Genomic DNA, 20,902 nt, shown 5'->3' with positions numbered 1-20,902 from the left:
CAATGGAACGTATCTAAACATAATAAGAGCTATTTATGACAAAACCACAGCCAATATCATACTGAATGGGCAAAAACTGGAAGCATTCCCTTTGAAAACTGGCACAAGACAAGGATGCCCTCTCTCACCGCTCCTATTCAACATAGTATTGGAAGTTCTGGCCAGGGCAATCAGGCAAGAGAAAGCAATAAAGCCTATTCAAATAGGAAGAGAGGAAGCCAAATTGTCTCTGTTTGCAGATGACATGATTGTATATTTAGAAAACCCCATTGTACCAGCCCAAAATCTCCTTAAGCTGATAAACAACTTCAGCAAAGTCTCAGGATACAAAATCAATGTGCAAAAATCACAAGCATTCCTATACACCAATAACAGACAGCCAAATCATGGGTGAACTCCCATTCACAATTGCTACTAAGAGAATAAAATACTAAGAATACAACTTACAAGGGATGTGAAGGACCTCTTCAAGGGGAACTACAAACCACTGCTCAATGAAATAAAAGAGGACACAAACAAATGGAGGAACATTCCATGCTCATGGGTAGGAAGAATCAATATTGTGAAAATGGCCATACTGCCCAAGGTAATTTATAGATTCAAAGCTATCCCCATCAAGCTACCACTGACTTTCTTCACAGAATTGGAAACAACTACTTTAATCTTCATATGGAACCAAAAAAGAGCCCGCATAGCCAAGGCAATTGTGTGCAAGAAGAACAAAGCTGGAGGCATCACATTACCTGACTTCAAACTTTACTACAAGGCTACAGTAACAAAAACAGCATGGTACTGGTACCAAAACAGATATATAGACCAATGGAACAGAACAGGGCCCTCAGAAATAACACCACACATCTACCACCATCTGATCTTTGATAAACCTGACACACACAAGTAATGGGGAAAAGATTCCCTATTTAATAAATGGTGTTGGGAAAACTGGCTAGCCATATGCAGAAAACTGAAACTGGACCCCTTCCTCACATCTTATACAAAAATCAACTCAAGATGGATCAAAGACTTAAATGTAAGACATAGGACCATAAAAATCCTAGAAGAAAACCTGGGCAATGCCATTCAGGACAGAAGCATGGGCAAAGACTTCATGTCTAAAACCCAAAAGCAATGGCAACAAAAGCCAAAATTGACAAATGGGATCTAATTAAACTAAAGAGCTTCTGCACAGCAAAAGAAACTATCATCAGAGTGAACAGGCAACCTACAGAATGGGAAAAAAATTTTGCAATCTATCCATCTGACAAAGGGCTAATATCCAGAATCTACAAAGAACTTAAACAAATTTACAAGAAAAAAGCAAAAAACCCCATCAAAAAATGGGCAAAGTGTCTCAAAAGAAGACACTTCTCAAAAGAAGACATTTATGCAGCGAACGGACATATGAAAAAATGCTCATCATCACAGGTCATTAGAGAAACGCAAATCAAAACCACAATGAGATACTATCTCACACCAGTTAGAATGGCGAACATTAAAAAGTCAGGAAACAACAGATACTGGAGAGGCTGTGGAAAAATAGGAACGCTTTTACACTGTTGTTGGGAGCATAAATTAGTTCAACCATTGTGGAAGACAGTGTGGCGATTCCTCAAGGATCTAGAACTAGAAATACCATTTGACCCAGCAATCCCATTACTGGGCATATACCCAAAGGATTATAAATCATTCTACTACAAAGACAAATGCACACGTATTTTTATTACAGCACTATTCACAATAGCAAAGACTTGGAACCAACCCAAATGTCCATCAAAGATGGACTGGATTAAGAAAATGTGGCACATATACACCATGGAATACTATGCAGCCATAAAAAAGGATGAGTTCATGTCCTTTGCAGGGACATGGATGAAGCTGGAAACAATCATTCTCAGCAAACTATCTCAAGATCAGAAAACCAACCACCACATGTTCTCACTCATAAGTGGGAGTTGAACAATAAGAATACATGGACACAAGGAGGGGAGCATCACACACCAGGGCCTGTGGGGGGTGGGGGGCTAGGAAAGGGATAACATTAGGAGAAATACCTAATGTAGGTAACAGGTTGACGGGTGCAGCAAACCATCATGCCATGTGTATACCTATGTAACAAAACTTCATGTTCTGCACATGTAACCCAGAACTTAAAGTATAATAATAATAAAAAAAATTGTTGTCTTTGTTTTACATGACCTCATTAACATTGAAGGCTACAGTCCCACAGAACTACATTTTATGTAAATCCCTGCAAAATATTTTTACAAGTATTAGAGAAGGCATTGTTTAGTTTTATTACAGAAAAATGTTTAGGAAAAAACACAGCATGTTTACATTTAAATAAATTATTTCTTTAAACATTTTCTTTTGAAATACTTCTTGAGATGACTGGCGACACTCATAAAAGAAGAAGTGTTTAAAAATATAACAGAAAAAGTACTTAATGCATTTGCCTCTCCTTTTACCCTTTACTCTATAACCCAGATTGGGTTATAAATGGGAGAAGAGTGTCTTTTCCCCCTGTAAAACAGTCCTGAAGGAAAGGAGCCTTGAGTACAGGGCCTTTGAGCTATTTCTTCAATATCAAGTGAGAGGATAGCAACAGTGAAAAAAATTACATTATTAAATAAATTAAAACTTAGCAGAGTTTGTTTTTAATTGTCCTCTATTTCACTGTGTTACCATACAGCATGGTCCAAATATACAAGTGTCAGAAGGAATGTTCAATGCCACTCAACTCTTTCAACATGATCACAAAAATCTCTGGAGACCAACACCACTGCCATTCAATTGGGATCATGCAGAAGAATAAACCAAATTTCACAGAAGAAAATATTATTGTATATGCTCTCTTTGTAAGCCTTATGAGAGTAATTGGCAAAGAAACCCTAACATTGCTTTCAACATTTTTCTTCCATACTAAAATACTCACCTGTTGCTCCAATTCTCCAACAGCATCATTTGGAGGAGAGCTCAATATTTCTTTACTCATCAACTAGGAAATTAAAATAATAAAATTAAGTATAACAATGTGATGTTTATGAAGTAAAATATATTTTCTTGAAAGGATAGTAAAATGATTTATATTTAGCTTTTCCTTGCCTTAATTTGAGGATCCTTAGAACGCTATTCAGATAAAAACTTTATTAGAGCCTTAACTTAATAACACAAATTCAAGCATATTAGTGAGGACACTATAAGTAAATTGTGCTTTAAATACATAGATATATTCAAAATACTTGTGTACTGACAAATTTCAATACAAGTCCTAAAAGACATATTACTGATAAAGAGTGAACACATTAAATAATTTTTAAAGGGATTCATATACATTATAAGTTAATACTTTTTTAATGCAGCCTTTTTGAGAAGTCATTTTAAAAGTAGGAGTTACGATTATATGAAAAAAAGATCCTGTAAAATAACTCTGAGATGAAAGGCAGATTTACTTATGTACAGGGATACTCTGAATCCAAACCAACAATGCAAACTCAGGGAGTACAGACTACAAAAGTCCTGTATGACGTCTCCCTCTAAGTCATGCCCCTTCCAAAGTCTGCTTTTCCTGAAGTCTCCTCTGCAATCCATCTCAGCCTTTTAGGCTGATATTAAGAATCAACTCTGCACCACATTAATTCTGAATCCTTCCTGGCTCAACTTAGATAACTAGACTAGCTTTAATCCAACTTACCTGGTAAAACTAAACCTAAGTACCACCATATTTGCTCACAGATCTAACATTTTGAAAATGCATATGGTATATATAAATGAAAAATTCAGGAAAGATTGTTATAACTGGAAGAAAAAAAAGAAAAAAGAAAAACTCCTGTCTGGTCAGAGACTGTTCTGGTCAGAGACTGTTTATCCTGCGTTTCCTGCTTAGTTGAAGTTATTTAAAGGAAGGGTCCCCAACCCCCAGGCCATGGACTGGCACCAGTCCATGGCCTGTTAAAACTGGGCTGCACAGAAGCAGGTGAGTGGCAGGCAAGAGAGCATTATCACCTGGACTCCACCTGCTGATAGATCAGCGGCAGCATTAGATTCTCATAGGAGCAAAAACCCCACTGTGAACGCTTCTTACGTGAATCTAATGCCTGATTATCTGAGGTGGAACAGTTTCATCCCAAAACCTTCCCCCTGCCCGCCACCCCGGGTCTGTGGAAAAATTGTCTTCCACAAAACTGGTCCCTGGTGCCAAAAAGGTTGAGGACCACTGATTTAAAGAGACTTGATAATATTAATTTATTAACCAGCTTTTAAAATGCAGAGGTACTAAAATTGGGCTTAAAGGCCTTTTAAAATATTTTTGGGGGTAAAAAAGGAAGACCCACTAGCTAAGGGGAAGTAAACTTACAACAAAGAGCAAGTTTTTAAAAAAGAAAAGCATAAAGTATGAAAAGTTTTGTATAATTTGGTTTAGGATTTTTATACTCATAGGAACATGATATAACTTACCTCTTGAATAGCAGTCATGACCACATGTTGAACAGACTCTTCCAGTGTCATTATATTTTGAATATGTTCTATGATTTAAAAAAATCAAATCTGAAAAAAATCTACTCTTTACACATAGTACCTTAGCCATCAAATTAATAGACTATAAAAATTCATCTACCCACAGATAATCCTTTATGTAAATACATTATTTGTCCACCAGTATGTCTTCCTTCCTCACCAAGATAAACTGAGTATTGTTAAGCAAATGAATTCATTCTTTCAAGATTGAGATTGTTGCAGTCAGTACCTTGAAATCATTTTAAAAATCAATTCATACAGCAAAATACAAAAGTGTGAAAGCTTTTAAAAAGTTATGTATCTAGGAATTGAATTCCTTTTAAAACTGGACAAAATTGCTCAATAGTGCTTAGAAGTAAATTATGAAAATATTACATATAATATTAAAATTTTTAGGATGCAACAAAATAATCACTTTAAGGCAAAATTACCACTTAAAATGTCAATTATAGCTTAGAAAAGGAACAGCTGATTAATTCACAAGAAAAACGTATGAGATAAAAGAGGACAACAAAACTAAATAGTAAAAACAAAATAGAATCAAAGCCAAAAGTTGGCTCTTTAAAAAAGACTAACGAAACTTACAAACCTGGTTAAGATTAATTAAGCAAAAATAAGTTACAAATAACCAGCAATGAAAATATTAACAAAGCATTAATCAATGAAAAAATAAAAATAATCACGATTACAACAAAAAATTACTAGATTTATAAATAAATTACTACTTGTCAATTTGTGATTAAATATTTAGAGAAGTTTTAACCTTCCATGAGCAAATGTCCCTGCTTTTATGAAAAACCCAATATACAGATCTTTAACTTTATTTATAAGTGAGAAATAAAAGCCTACAGAGAAGTACTGGCTTGTCCTAGAAAAAAACTTCTAGTAAATAGTAGAGATGGACTAATATAAAAATTCTCTGACACCTAGTCACTGTCCTTTTATAATTGATAAACTACAATTAATTTCATGTATTTTGTTTTATTTTTCTCCTTTCAGAGTTTGTAGGTAAATTTATCCCAGCTTATATCCTTTCTTCATTAGTCAGACAATGTTGAATGTTTTCCAAGGCCCTGGCTTGAAGTATTTGCATTTTGCAAACTTAAGCACTCAACATTATTCTTTCATAAAGGTGGTGTACTAAGAACAAGTTTGGATGAATCATGCAAAAAAACATCAGCGTCAAAAGTCTCACCACCGAAACGGATTAAAGCCCTCAAGGGAAGGAGGTCTGGGCCTGTTCAGTTCATCATTCATCATTACATGCAACCAAATATGATCCTTTTGTACTCAGCAAAATATGGATCACTGTGTTTGGATATACCAATATAATGCATCAATTCCATTTATATCATTAGACCACTTATCTGGAGGATATATTGGACAGATATGCTTCTGAATGGAGCAGAATATTATCTGAAGAAACTTGAATTATAAATTAGTAGCTGAATATTTATTTATGAAAACTGAATCCACATAAGGTTCTTACATGTAAAATAGACATAATGTATCAAATGAATAAGTACAATTTTTATTGACTATCCACTAAGTCTTATGTACTGGGTATATTAAACTAATTAAACTAAAATACATCTAATTTAGCCACTGAATATGAATATCAGAATCCAGGTACAAATAGGACACTCAAGGTATGCCACTTTTCAACGACAGAGTTGGGCTAGAATTCAGATCTTCTGGTTTACGTTTCAGGGTGCTTTCTGCCAAGCTTTAATAGTATGATTTAATGCTAGCTTATATAGCAATGTAGAAAGTTTCTAGAAAGTAGAAATCCTCAAATGATTGAAATTCACTTACCTTGCTTCTTTTCACAGTTGATCGCACAACCTAAAATAAGCTGGAGCAACCTCCCAAGCTCCACTGGATCTGAACATTCGGTTATTTGGTTTAAATCAGGGATAAGTGCTTCTGAAATCTGCTGCCCCAAAAACTACAATATTAAAATAAATTAGATCACTCATTTATGTCGGCTGCAAAGAATTTGCTACATTTAATATTACAATGAAAATAAATTATAAATTCACGAAACAACTCAGATAAAATAACAAATGACAAATAAATAATTATTAAAACCAGTTAGCAATGTTCAGGCAACATTCCAAAATTCTGAGTAACCAACCAAAAGCACTATATTTCCTTTTGGTTTCACATCAAATATCCTTTGATTTCACTGTCAGAGAGAAGAATTTAACTTAAGAAGCACTTGGCCTAGTCTACTATGATAAAACTTATGCCTGTCCATTAAATAATAAGCATATGTTAAGCCAAAGAATATTCATAATATTTTCATATATAATCAATTAACAGAGAAACACAATGTAAATCACTGTACTTTTACAAATGAGCAACAAATCTAATGGATTAATTTTTTTTCCTGGTCTTATCTTTCTTTTTCTTATTTTTTAGCTGATTAAAAGGGTTCTTGGCATTAAAACAGCTTCAGAATTAGTTTTAGGTATTTAATAAATTGAAAAATTTTAGAGAATATTAAACATTTTGGGAAGAAATTACAAGTTTAATTGTGTGACGACTTTAAAGAATAGAAACAAAAATTCTTTAATGGAAAAGTCATTCAAAAGCTGCCAATCATTCAGCAATAAACTCTCTTATATCAAAAACCCTACTAGAGAACTTGTTATGATGCTGAATAAGAAAAAACAAAACTATTTGACTAATGTACTATCTAAAGTGACTTTATAATACTACTTTTATTTTGCATTTTTTCCAATTTACTTGTATGAGCATAATCTCATTTATGTCTTTGCTACTGTTTACGCTGGGAAGAAATGTCAAAATATTGCTTTAAATAGAAAATTATTTCAATTAATTATAAAGTCTACTTTATAGTATTGCACAAAATCAAATATATTAAAGATGAAGGTAATTCTACTTGAAAATCAATTCGGAGAGTATCAATACCTAAGCAATGTTATCTTACAAATCAATATATCCAAGCTTATTTTCACAAATGAGCATTCTATAAAAATGACAATAAAACATGTTCTAATTATGACTTACATTCCAGTAAAATATTATAAACAAAAAACCAAGTGATTTTTCAGTCTTAAAGTAATTTTCGTATAGCATGATGCATTTAAACAAAGTCAGATGGTTTTCATACCTCATGATAATAACTCATAATTCCTTGAAGGACCTTCTTTACATTACTGGCCTAATGTGAAAAAAATAAGAGATTCTTATTTCAGATTAATAATGAAAGAAAAGTTATGTCAGCATGAAAGACAATAAAAACTTTCCCCTAATTAAAAAGAACAACAAAAACATTATAATAGAGTTCTATAAATACAAACACATGATGCTTTTTAACCATCAGAGATTTAATCAGTGTTTAGTTAAGTAGGGTGATTCTATTTAAAGTGGGTCACAATGAACTCAAGGGCCCACTGTAAAAATTTATACACAGGCATGTCCAGCTGCAGTCATGAGCAAGTTAACTGGGTTTTGATTTTCTCTCCTGTCACTAATAACTAGAAAATAAGACAAAATACATTAAACAATTGTTTGCAAGCTTTAGACAAGTAAGTAGTACAGAACTCTGCTTTCTGAAAGAATGAAAACAAACAGAAAATGGGCCCTACACTAGTACAAGCTTTCTGTCTTGAGGCAATTTTCAGACTACAGCATAGGGAGGTGGAAACCAAACACCAAGCCTGATGTTCTCACCGATTGAAGAGATAAGACATTAGAAGTTCAGGAAGGCCTGGGCAGTTTGAATTTGCAAGGCAGACGATGAAAAGATGGGAGCTATGGAATGAGCAAGCTCTGGAGATTTGTGTAAAATGGTTCCTTTGACTCTTTGGCTAAATACCAGTTTGCATGTGGATGGGTGAAACTGAATGTTCTTTCCAAAGAAATAACAATCCAGGGAACTATAAACTGAACCATTCCCAAAGATTATACAGGCCAAAAAATTTTTGAAATTCTCACTAGCCAGAATGAAGACACCATGCTACACGCACAAAACATTCACTAAAGACCCCCAAAAAGGTCACAGCTTAGTAATGAGTCTACTTTAGTCCTAAAGGAAAGAATAACTTTAGTTCTGCCCCCCACAATAGCCAAAAATAGGCCTTTAAAGGATCAAACTGATTCCAAGTACCTTAACTGCTTGCAAGAAGAAAATTCAACACTCCTCAAAAGAATATACTTAATTGGGAGGCTGAGGCAGTTGGATCACCTGAGGTCAGGAGTTCAAGACCAGCCTGGCCAACATGGCGAAACCCCGCCTCTACTCAAAATACAAAAATTAGCCAGGCATGGTGGTGGGCACCTGTAATCCCAGCTACTCGGGAGGCTGAGGCAGAAGAATCGCTTGAACCTCGGGGGCAGAGGTTGCAGTGAGCTGAGATTGCACCACTTCACTCCAGGCTGGGCGTAAGAGCGAAATTCTGTCTCAGGAAAAAAAAAAAAAAACTTAAAAAAAAAAATCAGCATTCAATAATAAAATTCATAATGTTTAGCATCCAATTAAAAAATTACTACAGATGTGAAGAAGCAGGAAAGTGGGAACCAAAATTAGGAGAAAACTCAGTCAATACACATGGGTTCAGAAATGAAAGATAAAAGAATTGAGACAATGTTAAAACTTCTAGTTTAAAGATGTTCAAGGATTTGAACAAAAACATGAATGTAAGAAATAGAAGGTTTTTTACAATAAAGAATCAAATACAGATTGTCAAACTGGATAAAAATGTAAGACCCAACTATTAGGTGTCTACATGAAACACTTTCAATAAAAAGACATAGGCAGATTAAAAGAATGGAAAAAGAAATACTAATGAAAAATATAATCATAAAAAATCTGTAGTGGCTACATTAATATTAGAGCTAATTTGATTTCAAATAAAAGAATATTACCAGGGATAAAGAAAAGCATTTCATAATAAGTGAATTCATTCAAGAACACACAAGAAATATAGTGTGTAATAAACTTAATAACAGAAATTCAAAATACATGAAGTAAAAAGCAAAAAAATGCAAAGGAGAAATCAACAAAATCGAAATCATCATTAGAGATTTAAGGGCTCTCTACAGAGTCTATACTACACTATACACATAGTATAATAAGAAAAAATATCAATAAAGATATGGAAAATACCACTATCAACAAATTTAACAAAATCTATATTTATATAACAACTGTAGAATGCATGCTGTTTTCATATGCACATGGAACATTCACCAAGACAGACCATAGGTTCGGTCATAAAATAAGACTCAATAAATGTAAAATAACTTCTCAATACAGAGTATTGTCTCAGATCTATTAGAAACCAATAAATAAAAGAAAGGCAACTGGAAAATCCTCAAATATTTTGAATTTGAATTACCTACTTCTAATTTACTCATAGGTCAAAGGAGAAAACTTTATAAGGGAAATTACCAAATATTTTGAACTGAATGAAAATAAAGTAACAGTCTGTCAAAATATGTGGGATGTGGCTAAGATGGTGGTTAATATTAGGGGAAAAAAGGGTTTAGAGTTGATTATTTAAGCTTCCACCTTAAGAAGCAAGAAAAAGAAGAACAGGTTAAGTGAGAGAAAGGAAATAATAAAAATCAGAAAAATCAATGGAATAGAAAACATACACTAATTCTTTAAAAAATAAATAAGTAAAATTGAAAAACATCTAGCCAGACTTATCAAGGAAAATAAATTCAAAAGACACAAATAACCAATAGCAGGAAAAGAAAAGGAAACATCATTAAAGATCAGTTATTAGCACATTATTAGCACAGTAATTCAGTTAAGGACTGTGTATCAACAAATCATACATCCTGTATGAAACAAATGTCCTACAAGACACAACAAAACTGACTTAAAAATAGAAAATCAGTTTGGCAGTTTCTTATAAGGTTAAGCACATACTTATACAACTTAGCAATTCCACCCAGAAATTCACCCAAGAGAAATTAAATATGCATCTATCCAAAGATTCATATATGAATGTTTGTAGCTGTTGTATTCACAATAGTCAAAAATGTTAAAAATTCAAACATCCATCAACAAGTGAATAGCTAAACAAACCACAAAATATCAGTCTAATGAAATACTGCTTAGCAAAAAAAGAAATAACTACTAATGCAGGCAACATGAATGAGACTGAAAAATTACACTGAGTGAATGAAGTTAGACAAAAAGAGTACATATTATATGATTCAATTTATACAGAGTTCCAGAAATGAACTCCATAGTAACATAAAACAGATCTATAGCTACCTAGGGCAAGGCTGGGGGTAGGGATTAATAGAGAATGGGCCTGAAGTGCATATTTTTGGTTAATAGGAATATTTTCTATTTAATTATGATGGTAGTTACATGAGAGAATACATGTGTTAAAACTCAAACTATACACAACAAAAAGTACTATAAGTTAATTTGAAAAACAGATTTGGTTAACTTAGTGCTAACTTTAGGACCACTGTTTGGATCAAGTGCTTCTCCCATTTGTTCTGCATACCTTTATTCTCCAGTTGTCCCCAACATCCTCTTTAATTCGGCTTAACCAAGATTCGTTAAACCAAGCTGCATCACTGAAACAACAACAAAAAAAATACTAAAGATGAAAATGTTTTTATTACACAAAAAATTAAATAGAGCCAACAGAGAAAGTTACTTTATGTCTTAAAGCCTATCCTTAATAACAATACTGAATATTACTTATATAGCAATAATTTATCATATTAAGTTATTTAAGTTATTTGCACCTTCAATTTAATAAACATTTACTAAATATTTAATACTAGGTGCCCTGCTACCAGGAAGATGCAAAAGTCACAACCGTGAAGAGGTAAAAAACCAACATTTTAATGAGTTTCTACTCTGTATCAAGCACTTGATATTGTTCCAAGTTATTTCATTTAAATATGATGGTAACTTGGCAAATACTCCATTATTATTTCCAGTCTTACTATTTAGGGAATTGAGGATGAGAGAGTCTAAGTAATTTGCCCTGAGTGATACTATTAATAGCACATGGCAAGGCCCAAAATTAATCTATTCAACTGAGTAGAATTAAGCAGAATGAGTTTAAATGAGAAGTCTACAAAGACAAGTTTAGTTTTAATGAAAAGCAAAGTCCCATATTGATACTGATGGCCAAGACAAAGAATTGCTATACTAAATTTTTGTGTATTTAATAAGGTTTTGAAGAACAACATTTGACTATATATAGTGAACTACATTAATAGACTTTATTCTAAACAAATATCTAGATGCTTTCTCTGAGTAAGGAATTGAGCAAGATTAATATGAAGATAATTTACCCTTTTGACTCTTAGAGAAGTAGTTATTAAAGGAGAAAAGTAAAAAGCACAAATAACTATACTCGAAGGAGAATGTGATAAATGTTCTAAGGGTAAAACAACTTCAAAATCACAGAATGTTTATGCTGGAAGAGGTCTTAAAGGTCTCATCTAAATTCTTACTTTACAGGTATGCCAACTAAAATAGGGGAAAAAGTAAAGAGCTTCTTTTCCAAGGTTGTAAATTGAATTTAAGAACGCAAAACTGAAACCTTTCTGCTCATATGTTCTAAAACCAGAAGATAACTCTTCTGGCTATGATAACCAAAAGAAAAAAAAAAATGGCTTCACTACTTTCAATTCATTTATTTGGAATTTGTAATCATTTTATTTTTTATTCATAATCAACATATAATAATTGTACATAACCATTTTCTTTTGAGCAGATTAATATTAGTTGTGCTCAACTATTCCCAGATGCCAAGTCTGCAATTACCGAAACAATTTATCTAAATGTGTAAATGCTACACTGCTAACCAGGTATTTACTTGAAATGACTGAATGAATCGAGTTAATGAGTCAAAACTGTCCAATTCACTTCCTTTTTATATCAGATTAAGTAATAAAAACTCCTAACCAGAGGAGTCACGCCAGTTGTGATGTTTAATGTTATGTGTCAACTTGGCTAGGCCACAGTAACCAGATATTTGGTAAAAACCCATCTGGATGTTGCTGGGAAGATATTTTCTAGATGATACTAACATTTAAATCAGTAGACTTTGAATAAAGCAAACTACCCTCCATAATGTGGGTGGGTCTCATCCAATCAGTTGAAGGCCTTAAGAAAAAGGCTGAACTCCCCCAAAGAAAGAGCAAATTGTGCCAGCAGATGGCTTTCCAACTCTAGCTGCCCTTTGAGTCTCTAGCCTGCTGGCTTACCCTGCAGAATTTAAACTTTTCATCCTCCACAATCACATGAGCCAATTCCTTAAAAAAAAAATCTTGGGCCAGGCGCATGGCTCATGCCTGTAATCCCAGCGCTTTGGGGGGCCGAGGCAGCCAGATCACCTGAGGTCAGGAGTTTGAGACCAGGCTGACCAACACGGAGAAGCCCGTTCTCTACTGAAAATACAAAAAAATTAGCCAGGCATGGTGGCACATGCCTGTAATCCCAGCTACTCGGGAGGCTGAGGCAGGAGCATCGCTTGAACTCAGGAGACAGAAGTTGCAGTGAGCCAAGATTGTGCCTTTGCACTCCAGCCTGGGCAACAAGAGCGAAACTCCGTCTCAAAAAAAGAAAAAGAATCTGCATGTGTGTGCACATGTGTGTATATTGAGACAAAGATTACACACACACTCACCCTCTACTGGTTCTGTTTCTCTGGACAACCCTGACTACCACCCCAGTCTTCTAACTGACCCTAAAAAAATCCAAGTATGTGATTCTATGCTATAATTACCTTTAGAAATTGGATCTAGATGTAATGTATTTTTCTCTAGTTTTTCCAAGATAATTCCTTTTGTCTTACATTCCTCCTCATCTTCCTTTCTATCTCAAATCAACTTTAGCCCAGAGAAATACTTTCTAACTTAGTAAAAATATATCTCCTGCTTTCTTATACACAAATTCACCCTTCTCAAACAACTATAATGGCAGTCAACCTTTTCCACTATTAAACTTGATCTCCAACCTCAGAAATCTCAGGGCATCTCTTTTTTTTTTTTTCCTTTTGCGCTGCAACCTCTACAACCTCTACATGCCTTAGAGTCTTGGCACCCAATAATTAGCTCCTTTTCTTATATTTCCCAGAACTTCAATAACACTCAAGGGATATCAAATAAGAAAGGGGACACAGGACTAATGAACCAAAATATGGTCCAATTATTTTCTAATAAAACTAAGTAAGAATTACTACATTTTAACTCCATCCGGTGTATTTATCTTCCACAGTTTTACCAACTGAATTCAGGTAGTAAGAAATACCTACTAGTTACTATAAACAATATAGTTGTGTCACTTCAATGTATACCCAGAGCCTATTCTTCTTGAAATATCCAGAAATCTTCTCTATTAACCCATTAAACTGTGGTCTATATTTTGGACAGTTGTATATAAAGTATAGATAGATGTTCATGTAAGTATGTCCATGGATAGATGTCCATAGATGGATGTCCATACTTACATGGACATCTATCTATACTGTACACATAACTATCTACACTTTATGTCCATGCTTATATGGACATCTATCTATACTTTATACACAACTGACTTTCATTTTATTAATACTGCAAAGTAAAAATCTATTGGGATGACTTCAGTACATTTCAATGATTACAGCTGGTTGGGAGCACTGAACTTGGAGTCAGACCAAACTGATGCAAATCCTAGCTTTGTTATTTACTCATCATTTAACTTCCAAAAGCAATTTCAACTACTTATACCTCTGTCCTCTTGTATAAATTGAAGGTAAAAATAACATCTACCTCACTAAACTAGTAAATTTTAAATGAAAGAAAGTCAAATAAGTTCTATAATGATGCTTTTATTTAGTATATATTCAGATGTTGGCTATCATGGTTTATCATGTTAAATGCTCAAATATCTGCTAAATGAATAAGCAAATAAATGCATGATTCTTAAGGTCTCTGAATATCCTACATTATCTGTCTCATTCTTCTCCCTCTTACAAAAAAAAAGTTTAGTCAAAGACAATAGGAACAGAGAGGTTAACTGGTGCTTAAAGTGAAGAAGCTAAGCCTTTCTTTTGAAGATATGGCACGCACTATTTACAGTTGTTCTGTACTATCAAAAAAGATATGTTTAAGTCCTATCCCCTGTGAGTGTGATTGAAATAAGGTCTTCATGTATGTAATAAAGGTAAGATCAGGTCATAATGAATTAGGATGGGCCCTAATCTGATATGTCTGGTGCCCTTATAAGAAAAGAGACACAGACAGAGGTAAGATGGCCATGTGAAGACAGAGTAGAGATACACTGCCACAAACCAAAGAATGCCTGGGACTACCAGAATTTGGAAGAGGCAAAGGAGAATCGTCTCCTAGAAGCTTTGGAGGGAGCATAGCCCAGAAAATAGCTTGATTTAGAACTTCTAGCCTCCAAAAGTGTGAGAGAATTGATTTTTGCTGTTTTAAGCCACCTGGTCTGTGGCACTTTGGTACAGTGGCCCTAGGAAACTAACACAGTTGTATAGTTTTTTCCCATGTGTTTTTAAAATAACTGAAGCTTCTACATGCATTTGAAAAAGAGAGTTATGTGCTACATATTCAAATTGAAGATAATAATTAAGAAACTGTAGAACCCTAGCAATAACTCCATGACTCTTTATGTCTAAGTTAAACAGTTTAGACACCACTTTATAAAGATATTACTATTTGGAAAAATATCTGCCTCAAGTAAATAGAAAAAAACTATTGGTTAAATTTTGCTGCTTCCTTAAAAAGCAGAATTTCTCTTCTAACCTTCAGTAACAATTTTGATGTGACACGATGTCAGCCACAATAGTCATCAATGCAATATGTTAAAAATTATAACATATTTGAGCTGGGCGCGGTGGCTCACGCCTGTAATCCCAGCACTTTGGGAGGCCAAGGTGGGCGGATCATGAGGTCAGGAGTTCAAGACCTGCCTGACCAACATGGTGAAACCCCATCTCTCCTAACAATACAAAAATTAGCCAGGCATGGTGGCATGCGCCTGTAATCCCAGCTACTGAGGAGGCTGAGGCAGGAGAATCACTTGAACCCGGTAGGCGGAGGTTGCAGTGGGCCGTGATTGTACCACTGCATTCCAGCCTAGGTGACAGAGCAAGACTCCATCTCAAAAAAAAAAAAAAATTGTAACATATTTAAAGTGCTTTGAAATGTTCAAAGACATATGGTAAAATTAACCTTTTAATCGGAATAGGACATACTGGTCCAACTAAGGAAAAATGTATGCTTTATGTCTCACTATCCAGGATCCAGACTTCTGAAAAGTTCCAAAACTGTAAAGGAGTTTAAAAAGAAAATAAATAAAAAGTAGCCCCTGGATGATAAGGAGGCTCAGACACCTAAGAACATATAAAATCAAGTGAATGAAGCAAAGAGAGAACGAGAGAGAAAGAGAGAGATATTTAGGGTTAATTTTAGGGCACTGGCCATTTGTTAATGGTGACAGAGAATTTCTGATTGACTATTTTATTGTTACTGCAGAAAAGCTCTTAGAAGACTGTTACAGACAAAAGAAAGAAGAAATAAAGAAAAAGCACAGAGAGGGAAGATCAGCATTAACAGCATAATCCAACAGACTGTGGAAAAATTAGCTAAAATTTACTGACTCTACTCCAAACATCAGGTCCAGTGCTAGAGCATAGGAGGTCAAAGAGCTATATGCATCACATCATGGTAAAAACAGGTTTCTTTTGATTGTATTCTGGCATAAAGCTACCAAAGCCCACCAAAACATATAGAAAGGACAGCTCTGAATGGGACTGTTGAAATGAGTGAATGCATACCAGCCTTACATTCATACCAACCACAATGTTGCTGCATCTACACCAATATTCACAACATAGCATGATGAGAAGAAGGCAAGGCATAAATTCTAGTGACAAAAAACAATGATGACTTTCTCAAATCATGAGAAAAGAACTATGTCCAGAATGTTTGGCTCTGATGAATTAAATCATTTCAAAATCAATTAAGATATAAATAAATAAAATTTTGTTTGTTTGTTTTTTGTTTTTTGAGACGGAGTCTTGCTCTGTCACCCAGGCTGGAGTGCAGTGGCAGGATCTCGGCTCACTGTGAGCTCCGCCTCCCAGGTTCACGCCATTCTCCTGCCTCAGCCTCCCGAGTAGCTGGGACTACAGGCGCCCGCCACCATGCCTGGCTAATTTTTTGTATTTTTAGTAGAGATGGGGTTTCACCATGTTAGCCAGGATGGTCTCGATCTGCTGACCTTGTGATTCGCCCTCCTCGGCCTCCCGAAGTGCTGGGATTACAGGCTTGAGCCACCGCACCCGGCCAATCAAACATTTAAGAAATATTTTTAAGACAGAATGGGAGTAAGGTATGTTTTACAATAACTGTCAACCTCCTCAAAAGTTAACATGTTAGTTAAGTTTGTCTTTTAAAGTATTAATCATAAATTAACCATTAAATCAGTCTATTCGCAAGAGATCATTTTGAAGATTCTAAACAAGTAGGATTTTTATATCATTTTAATTGTTTTTCTAAGACAGGCATAGGATTTTTGTTAACCCATCTAAAGGGTTTTCAATGTAAATCATGGCAAATCTTTACAAGATGATGGTGACAAATAATCTGACTATAAAACAGTGAAGACGAGATAGGATTCTGGTCTCAAAGTAAGCTAATATAAAGTTGTTATAATTATTAATTAATAAATTGTGAGTGCAGAATTGGCCTTGTTTGTCCTACTTAGGGTGCAGCTCATATTACAGACCGTAACCCTAACCCTTAAACAATGTTGGCAAATATTAGGGGAAAAATGGATTTAGAAACTTTTGATATTATATGATTACATAAAATGGGTCCAGCCTAAACACAACCACTTTATTAAAGTTTCCCAGTACCTGTGACTTCAAATTTCATTCATTCCTCATTTCATTATTGGTGAACTCATAAACTACTATTAATTCAGAAATACATTTTAAAATTTAATTCTTTAAAAATTTTTTCAAAATCCAATATTTTATGCTTCAATAATTTTTAAGATAATAATCTCCATGCACGGATACCTTAAAATGACAACAGTACAACCAAAGAAAACACCATAAGCAATTGTATCATTAACTTGTTTCTTTTATAGTTTTAAAATAGTGTGAACATGCTCATAACAAGTTTAAAATAAGTTAACTTGAATAAATAAGAATCCTGATCACATATCCAGTTAAGATGTATCTCTATGAACAAGCCAGGAATAATGAGGTGGTAAACTTTTTGTTCCCTACCTGCAAGAATGCCTTGGTGCCATATTCCTGAATATGTCACTGGGTAAGATAAAGTTGCAACAACCTTTGGAATTCAAGTCCAAGTTTTCTTCCTTGGTATGTATTGGGTTTACAATGCTTTTCAGGGAGAGTCTGACCACTACTCACATTTGATGAAGAACTTGTGCCATGGCAACTCCACTAGTCAGCTGTTTGACATCTTGACAAGGTGAGGCAGTATTGAATGTCTGCAGCTAAAATGACATAAATCAAATGATCTTACTGCTTCTTTATACCTACAAGGTAGCATTACAAAATGCAAACATAAATTGAAAACAGCTAAAAAAAACAAAAAAAAAAAACATGGTCCTGTTTTGTTTAAATGTAGACCCAGACAAACAAATGGAACTATGCTAATATGTCTCTATGGCTGTGTAACTTTATAAAAATAAACTAAACATTTCACAAAATCATGCCTAGGACATTAGAACATATTGATGCCATGCATAAGTAATACATAATTTGGAATAATACAAAACCAGGTATATAACTCTAGTCTTGTGTTTTGTCTATATTTAGCAGAACATCAGAAAAAGAACTTAAAGATAACCCAACATTTGCAACTTAAAATTTCACTCATATCATTTGATAGAAAAACAAAGGCTAGAAATGTCAAGTCTAAACCTACTTACAGTTTATCCATGAGCTCTGAAATAAGACAGGACTTCTGTTTCCTATCTAAAAATTGGCCTTACGTCTTGAAGAATCAAGCCCTATCTATCACGTCAAGTTGTTTCTATCTATTTTGGCTTTAGGTATACTAACTTTTCACATATATCTGTTAAATATTCATGTATATATTGAAGAGAAGCGGAATAATAACCTCTTTTTACAATAAGCAAATATGAGATAGAAAAAAATTTAGAAAGCAAATTACATCAGAGCTAAAATGGATCATAAACTTTCTAGAAAGGTAATCTCAACCTATAAACACCTTAAGTTAAATATACTATGATTCTCTTTTCCCACACATACTCACCCATTTCACTGTTCACTAATAATTTCTTAGTTTACCATTTAACTATCTTAATCCAATAAAATTCTCTCCCGCCATAATTCACTTTTAATGGTTCTGTGCATTTTCAGAGTTGGCAACTGGAGATTCAGACCTCCATTATCTAACACAACACAGATGAATGATACCAGCAAACTAAACCTAGCCAGTTATTTTCAAAACACACAGAGACACTTTACTAAGCTCCTACGCTATGTGAGACACTGTGGCACATGATGGGGCTACAAAGGAAAACCACCAGGTTTCTACCCTTAAAGCTTCAGTCAAAAGTTAAGGAGAGGAGGAAGAGACATAAATCATTTCTAGACAATATGGTAAGTCCCATGATTACAGTATGCACAAAATGTTCTGCAAAAAATGGGTGTCAACTAATCTAATTAGGGTTTGTATTTAGGAAAGGCTTCTCGGAGATGATTTCTGAATGGAAGGTCTAGAGGGAAGAGTAGCATATTTTCTAAGTAAAGAAATAGTCAAGGAAAAAAAGCTTCAGGAAATAGGAATATGATAAAAGTACAGATACATGAGAAGAGATATTATTTTTAGGGAACATGCAGTTCAGTATCACTGGATTTGCAGTGCAAAGAAGGCTGGGGAAGGGGTGACAACCAACAGGGTTAAAGAGACAGGACTCCAAAGGGCCATGACAAGAAGCTTGGACTTATTTTACACTTAATGGCATTATCTACATAATAAGAAACAGTAGAGTAGTTTCTACCTCACAAGATGGTTGGGGAATTAAGTGAAATAGCAAATATACCTATATCAGGGCCTGGCATGTGGCATAAGCTCAACAGCTGTTAGCACATTAGCTATGAGTCAGGGTTTCTCCAAGTATAGGGCCTAGAAACAATATGTATCAGAATCTCTAGACATATTAAATAAGAAAATCTCCAACTGATTCTTAAATATGTCAATTTTGGAGAACCACTGCTCTGGGTGATGAAAAATCACTGAAAAGTAATAAGGAAGAGTAACATTCTTTGGCATATTTTGGAGAGCAGATAGTGACACAGAGTAGCTTTATGCCTGAGTCAGGCAGACCAGTTAGAAGGTTCCTGCAATGGCTCTGATGACAAAAATAGAGTAGAGGGAATCAGCATAATATTGACTGAGAGGAGATGATGAATTAATGGAATATTTAAAATACAAAATAAGAAGGATTTTGCAACTGGGTGGATGTACAGGGAAGAGAAACTCCAAGAATTAGGGCATCTTTAAAAGGAAAATAAACTGTGACTTCCACTTTTCAGCCCTTCCAACTTAAACATTAACTTTTAATGTGTAACTTAGAAGTTACATCATTAACTTTTTACAAAATTGACACAATTCATGATTTTAAAAGGACAATTTCAGAGGCACAGAATACTAGGCAAAATAAGAGGTACACATGCTAAGGGACTACCTCCATGACCACTATGTTCAGATTAAAATCAATTTCCCCTCCTTCCTGCCATGGACATTGGAGTGTCTCTGAGAAGTTCTTAAAATAGCTGCAAAATAAATTAGAAAACAGAATGTAATTTGATTTCACTCAATTGAAAGGCTTACAACCAAGAAGAGTGAATTAATTAAAAAGCTTAGTGGGGAGGCTGGGTGCAGTGGCTCATGCCTGTAATTCCAGCACTTTGGGAGGCCGAGGCAGGTGGATCACTTGAGGTGAGGAGTTCGAGACCAGCCTGGCCAACATGGTGAAACCCTGTCTCTACTAAAAATACAAAAATTAGCCGGGTGTGGTGGCACATGCCTGTAATCCCAGCTACTAGGGAGGGTGAGACAGGAGAATCCCTTGAACCCGGGAGGTGGAGGTTGCAGTGAGCCGAGATCATGCCACTGCACTATAGCCTAGGCAACAGAGTGAGACTTCGCCTCAAAAAAAAAAAAAAAAAAAAAAAAAAAAATGCTTATTGGGGCGAGTGAGGTCAAAGCAGACAAAAGAAAATGTATTCTTTCTAACTAAAGTCTTTTTAGTGAGTGACCCAAAAAAGACAGACAGGGTTTCCACAGGTGTCTACCGCTAAACACAGTGTTCTGGCAAATAATTACCTTACTCTCTTCTATATTTCTAAATAAA

The 20,902-nt window shown here is 34.6% G+C and overlaps 1 protein-coding gene across 7 annotated transcripts in view; it reads right to left on the bottom strand.

The window, feature by feature from the left end:
* Nucleotides 1-20,902, bottom strand: part of HOOK1 (hook microtubule tethering protein 1) — a 61,374-nt gene that overhangs the window by 36,455 nt on the left and 4,017 nt on the right. For all 7 annotated transcript variants that reach the window (NM_015888.6, XM_047422232.1, XM_047422230.1 and 4 more), the window contains exons 2-7: nucleotides 17,925-18,010; nucleotides 11,016-11,088; nucleotides 7,655-7,705; nucleotides 6,331-6,463; nucleotides 4,456-4,523; nucleotides 2,933-2,995 (exon numbers count right to left, since the gene is read on the bottom strand). In NM_015888.6, the coding sequence (NP_056972.1) occupies nucleotides 2,933-2,995; nucleotides 4,456-4,523; nucleotides 6,331-6,463; nucleotides 7,655-7,705; nucleotides 11,016-11,088; nucleotides 17,925-18,010 (474 nt within the window). The remainder of the gene's footprint in view (nucleotides 1-2,932; nucleotides 2,996-4,455; nucleotides 4,524-6,330; nucleotides 6,464-7,654; nucleotides 7,706-11,015; nucleotides 11,089-17,924; nucleotides 18,011-20,902) is intronic.

The sequence above is a fragment of the Homo sapiens genome, chromosome 1 (genome assembly GCF_000001405.40).
Source record: "Homo sapiens chromosome 1, GRCh38.p14 Primary Assembly".
Classification (NCBI taxonomy): Eukaryota; Metazoa; Chordata; class Mammalia; order Primates; family Hominidae; genus Homo; species Homo sapiens.
The sequence above is the reverse complement of the archived record's forward strand: the minus strand, read 5'-3'. Positions and strand labels throughout refer to the sequence as shown.